The sequence below is a fragment of the Homo sapiens genome, chromosome 1 (assembly GCF_000001405.40).
Source record: "Homo sapiens chromosome 1, GRCh38.p14 Primary Assembly".
Taxonomy (NCBI): domain Eukaryota; kingdom Metazoa; phylum Chordata; class Mammalia; order Primates; family Hominidae; genus Homo; species Homo sapiens.
Genome location: NC_000001.11, coordinates 25,195,939 through 25,202,078, shown reverse-complemented (window position 1 = coordinate 25,202,078; position 6,140 = coordinate 25,195,939). Strand labels below are relative to the sequence as shown.

At 53.3% G+C, this 6,140-nt stretch overlaps 2 annotated features.

Moving 5' to 3' along the window:
• Positions 290–464: a silencer, noted in NCBI's record as "fragment chr1:25528106-25528280 (GRCh37/hg19 assembly coordinates)". NCBI's record gives its function as "represses an EF-1alpha promoter that drives an FKBP-Casp9 reporter gene in an ReSE screen in K562 erythroleukemia cells {active_cell/tissue: K562}" and the evidence as "EXISTENCE:reporter gene assay evidence [ECO:0000049][PMID:32094911]".
• Positions 2,530–3,029: an enhancer, noted in NCBI's record as "H3K4me1 hESC enhancer chr1:25525541-25526040 (GRCh37/hg19 assembly coordinates)". NCBI's record gives its function as "activates a minimal SCP1, AML or CMV promoter by ChIP-STARR-seq in naive H9 embryonic stem cells {active_cell/tissue: H9 hESC(naive)}" and the evidence as "EXISTENCE:reporter gene assay evidence [ECO:0000049][PMID:30033119]".

Below are 6,140 nucleotides of genomic sequence, written 5' to 3'. Positions count from 1 at the left end.
GCTAATTTTTTTTTTTTGTATTTTTAGTAGAGACGGGGTTTTGCCATGTTACCCAAGCTGGTCTCGAACTCCTGTGGCTCAGGCAATCTGTCTGCCTTGGCCCTCCAAAGTGCCAGGATTACAGGTGTGATCCACCGCATCCGGCCAGCTGTTTTTGCATTGCTGTAAATGAATACCTGAGGCTGGGTCATTTATAAAAAGAGGTTTAATTGGCTCACGGTTCTGCAGGCTGTATGAGAAGCATGGTGCCAACATCTGCTCGGCTTCTGGTGAGGACCTCAGGAAGCTTACAATCATGGTGGAAGGTAAAGGGGGAGCAGGCACGAGAGTGGGAGCAAAAGAGTGGGGTTGGGGGGCGGTTCCAGACTTTTAAAGAACCGGAACTCATGTGAACTCACGGAGCAAGAACTCACTTATCACCAAGGGGATGTCGTTAACCCATTCATGAAGGATCTGCCCTGGTGGTCCAGTCATCTCCCACCAGGCCCCACCCCCGACATTAGGAATCATATTTCAGTGTGAGATTTGGGGGGAACAAACAAACATCCAAACCATATAGAAAGACATCCCCTGGTTCTCAACAGCCCCCACTCTCATTTTTTGCAGGAGGTGCGGAAGGTGAAATGGGTAGGTGGCTTATGAGCATAAGCTGTTGGTAATTAGATCCTTCCTTGGCCTCAAGTCCTCCCTATTTCTCAATTGGCCACGCTGTTGGAGAAAAAGGTGTGGGACAGGCCTTTAGGATCACATTACTGAGGGAGAGGAGGCAGTTTCAGAGGACACATTCCCGGGGATTTGTTTACCTGTTGACCGGATCTTGTGGAGGGCTCCAGAGAGCCTGTTCCCGACAGGCGACCTCCAGCGCTGTGGGTGAAGGGTGAACATGGAAGCTGATGGCCATGACTGTCAGAGGAGCTGCAGTGGGGTCTACTGGATGGGCAGGCCCGTGTGGGATGGAATGAGGCTCAGGGGAGTGGCAAGTCCAGAAACAACTGTAACAGAGGAGGGACTAAATATGATGAGGTGGGAGGATCAAGAAATGCAGAAAAGATGCAGAGGGGTCAGATATGGTGGCTCATACCTGTAATCCTCGTGCTTTGGGAGGATAAGGCAGGAGGATGGCTTGAGGCTGGGATTTTGAGACCAGCCTGGGCAACATAGTGAGACCTCATCTCTATAAAAAGTAAAAAAAATTAGCCAGGTGTGGTGGCGCCTGCCTGTAGTTCTAGCTACTTGGGAGGCTGAGGTGGGAGGAACACTTGAGCCTGGGAGGTTGAGGCTGCAGTGAGCCATGATCACGTCACTGCACTCCAGCCTTGGCCTGGATGATAGAGAGAGACCCTGTCTCAAAAAGCAAACAGACAAACAAACACACACCAAGCAGGAGCCTAAAGAGCCACTCCACTCACGTAGAGAAAACTTCACACACAGGAGCTGATTTTCGGAGCGTGAGAGCCCTATGGCTGGGCACTGTGGTGGTCCTTGCCCTCCAGACAAGGGAGCAAAGGCTCAGAGGTTTACGCTACCGGTTCCAGACCACACTGCTGTGAGTGGCAAGGTGGGGCTTCGAATCCAGCCCTATCGGCTGCCAAAGCCGCATTGCTCATCCACCAAGCCACACTTCCTCTCAGCCCTGCCTGTTCATTAAGGCTCTTCTCGGAAGCTCCAGGTGCCCGCATACCCTCTCCCAGTGCCCCTGCCATCTGTCCTGACTCCCTGCCTGTCAGAGCTTGGATACCACGTGGTACTTGGCCTTCTCCCGTAGATGCTTCTCCCCTACAGACCTGGCCCAGATAGGCAGGCCTTTGCCAGCCTGGCCATGCCTGGCTTGGGCGAATGTCGACTCGTGTCGTCCTGTGAGCACGCCATCCCAGGGCACTATGGTGGATGCCTCTGTAGCACAAAGAGACTGGGCCAGGGTCCTTGAGGGCTCGGGCTGGAGCGGGGGCCCTCACATTCCTGCTGCCTGCCAGCACTGTCTCCAAATGCCTGTCAGGTTGTAAAGGCGAAGAGTTGTGCATAACAGCTGCAGAAATCAAGCTGGCTCAGAAGAGCTCAGCCTGCAGAGAGAAGAAAATGATTTCAGCAAGAAACAAGCTGCAAATAACTCATAATGACCAGAGTGGGGCCCTGCCGGCTTTGCTCTGGGTTTGGTGAAATGTCTTAAGATATTTTTCCAAAGCCCTGGATTTGGCCAAATTGGAAACGTCCTTCGGCAAATGCTTTCTTTGCCTTAATTCTTAAAGTCAAGACTATTTGGAAGGCGATCTCCTTTGCTGTTTCAGATTCGTTTACTCTTGACACATCACAAGGGGCCTGCTGGGCGAGAGCTGTTTATAGGAGCAGATTTTAGGAATCAGAGGCTAAAGCAAGAAAGGTTTGGTCCATCCCATTAAGCACACCTCCCCCCATCCTCCACGTGGGGAGAAAGCCCTGGAAACAAGGGACTGAGGCTTGGGATCCCTGGTGGAGGTCAGGAAGTACCTCCTCCGTCACCCCTGGGCACCTTAGAGTTGTCTCCCAAAGCCTCCTCACTTTTCTCTTCTCTTGGATTCTAGAAATGCTGCCGAACTCAAAGCCACAGACCCCAGAGACCTACAAGGCAGTGTAGGTCTCACGAGCCTTGGTCTCACGTTGCTCAGGGGGGTCTTCCCTTCCTCTCGGCTCCTCCCACCTTCTCCTTCTGCACGACACCTTGGGAGGGCCTTGTGAGTGGCTTCTGTGGCACTGACCCAGGACCCCAAGCTCTGTAATTAGGCCCAGAGCCTCAGGTCTTTCAGCTCTACCCTGGACGTGGAAATAGAATCCTGAAGGCTTTTTGCTTCTGGTTTCTAGGCTGTCTCCCCGGACACTGCCTCGCCCTCTGCGGGGCTCTGAGTTCCTGGTGGAGGCGCCCACAGTGTGTGGCTGGCTACACTGCTCACTGCAATGGCTATAGGAGGTGAACACGGGATCAACCCTGCCGGGTTTGCTCCTTCGCAGTGACGCACGGCTCCGAGAACACACTCGGCCTCTGTATTTTGGCTTCACGTTGGAAAAATCTGCAACAATGCCTTCTGAGTCAATTCCACTGGGGCTCTGGTGACAAACCACTCTGGTTGTGTCTGGTGGCTTACAGGGTCCCCAGAGCCCTTTGATGGAATTACAGCTGCTCCTCTGTGCCGTCGCTGTCTCTCTGCCTCTGTCTCGCTCAACCTCTGTTTCTCTTTCTCTCTGTCAACACGGAAGGAGCTGGAACCAAACTGGAATGTGTGCTTGGGCAGCCTCAGTCCCGAGTGCCCACGAGCTGGTGTGTCTTGGCAACAGTGGCCCAGCAGCGCCCTGGCAGAGCCAAGCAGATGAATGGGTAATTAAACCGAGTGTTTCCCTACTGATACTTATTTCCCTGGTTCCAAATTTATTACTTAATTAAAGGGTATTCACAGCCTGCCAAGAGATGCTAGATCTTTCTTTCCTGTGCCAACAAATAGTTCCTCTTATACCCCTCTTTTGCCCTCAATTCTGCCTCTCTCTTTTTGTCTATCTGTGTCTCTGTCTGTTTCTCTCTTCCTCTCTCACAGACCCACATCCACACCCACGCCCACAGAGTCTTAGATCAAATAAGAGTACTAGTTGTTAGTAATTTCCTTGGTTAAGACTCTTGATAGTTTTTGCCCCAGGACAAGGCAAGAGAGTTAGTCCCGGCTCTTTTCTCCAATGGCTATTTAGTCCTGTGGGCTTGAGGTTTGGGTCCAGGGAGAGAGGAGTCAAGGGAGTGGTGGCTGAGGCCATGCTAAGGCTGGCTGGACCGGTGGGGACGTTAGTGCCCCTGACTTCCCCATCGTTGTTTCCAGGTGGGCACTGCCCCCAGGCAGCTTTCTCTCCTCTGCCCGCTCAGCTGCTGCTCCCCGCAGACTTCCTCATTCCTTCTGTTTTGCCCCATCTGAGATGAGCCTGTGTGCTTTGGAACACAGCAGACTATTGTTCCAAAGACAATAAAAAAAGATTGGGAAATGTAGTGGCTGTCACTCCCCAGTGCCTTCAAGTTAGAATTCGACGTGTGTGTTCAGAGGGCCGTGGTGAGATTGCGCCTGCCAAGGTAGAACAAACAAAAAGGAGTAAGAGAGAAAAAAGACAAAAGCTGGGATTAAACACCCCAAAAAGAAGATAAAATAGGCACCTCCTCCCTTAACCTCCCGTGACAGATTTAAAGCTTCATTAGTGGCCCACAAGGGGTTCTCAAGCAGCTACTGCCTCATCATCATGGCCATTAACCAGCGTGCAAATGACCCGCCGAGGGCCCTCGACCTGTCATGGCGCTGTCACCAGCGTGGTTTATGGCTTCTGAGCACCAGGTCCCAGATGGGCAACATGATCCTTTGCTTCCCTCATCAGAGCAAATCTGGACTTTAGAGCTCGTAAATTCAGCGGGGTGTCCCAGGGGCTGGCTGACATCTTGGAGGTGCCGGGTGAGGATTTATGGGCCCAGCCATAGTTTTGGGGGAGCCACAGGTTACCAGCGCAGGCATTAAAAGATACGGAGTTGCCCAACACAGCAAATGATGGCCACACGGGTGGCTCAAAGACAGCAAGGCTTAGTCAGCATGAGAGAGGGCGTGTGGTCCCTTAATGGGACTGGTGGCCGCTGCTGTTTACCCAGCCGTGGGGCTAGGAGCGCTCTATGCACTGTTTTCCTGCCCTCAACACTCAGGCAGGGGGCTGAGCCGGGATCCTGACTCCCAGGCTGGCCAGTGGGGTGGAGCGAGTCCTCACTGCCCCACAGCTCTTCCCAGCTATTCCATTCCCAGGCTGCCTCCACCTCCCACCCCTCCAACCCACCCTGGCCCGGGGTGGCTTTGCACACTTAGAACAACCTCTGGCTTGGTTGTATTAGCAGAGACATGGATCCTTAGTGTTCCTAAATGGCAGGTCTCAGGGCCGGGGCAGGGACACTGCCTCTCCACCCAGATTCCACCTGCTCCATGCCCTGGCTCGTCCCCACCACCAGCCCTCCAAATCCCCGTCCCTGCTGGTATTCATTCATCCTCTGGAGCCAGGCTGCCCATTCAGCTTCCTGCTCTGTCACTCACTGCTGTGTGCTCTTGGACACATCACTTAACCACGCTGGGCCTCATTCTCTCATCTGTAAGAGGCAGGTTTTTACAGAAGTGCCTACGTGGTTGTAGGGTTGTTGTAGGATTGCATGCGATAACCCATGTAAGTGCCTGGCCCGTAGCAAATGGTTGATAAATGTGAACTTTTTATTTATGTTATTATCATCATTGTGCCAGCTCGTCAGACACTACCTGCCAGTCCTTTCGGTGAGACGGCCTGCCTGGTGTCACACTTAATGTGTGTGTCTAGCTCTTTTTTTTTTTTTTGAGATGGAGTCTCGCTCTGTTGCCCAGGCTTGAGTGCAGTGATGTGATCTCGGCTCACTGCAACCTCCACCTCCGGGTTCAAGCAATTCTCCTGCCTCAGCCTCCTGAGTAAGCTGGGATTATAAGCGCCCCCCCCACTATGCCTAGTTAATTTTTGTAATATCTATAGAGATGGGGCTTTGTCAGGTTGGCCAGGTTGGTCTCGAACTCCTGGCCTCAAGTGATCCACCCGCCTCAGCTTCCCAAAGTGCTGGGATTGCAGGCGTGAGCCACCATGCCCAGCCATCTAGCTCATTTCTGGGAGCCCTTAAAGACCTCTGTGTTCCTTAGGCATTGCATGTAGAAGGAGCACAGACAAGGCTTCAGTGTCAAATTGACCCGGGTGTTGGTCCCCACACTCCCAGGTCCCCAGGTTCCCTGAGTCTTGTAGCCTGGGAGGGGCAGGCTGGGTTTCTTGGGGACTTGAGGCCACATAGGAAAGGTTTTTCCTGATACTCTTTCCTGGTTGTTTGCAGGTGGGAGGGCTGTGGCCTGGTGGTTTGAAAGGTGTCTCTCCAGCTTGTCCTTCTGGGGCACTTGGGCATCTTCCCTGAGGCCTGTCCTCTGGGCTGTCACGCTACCTGCTCCACTCCTCCCTGACATTACCATCTGCTTAGAACCTGTGTGCACCTGCCCCTCCCCTGCCCCCACTGTCCCTAGGAAGGAGGGTGGCTGCGTGGGCACCAGAGGTGTGCCAAGCTCTCTGGTTGGGGGTGGCTGGGGTGTGCCTTTGCTTCCGGC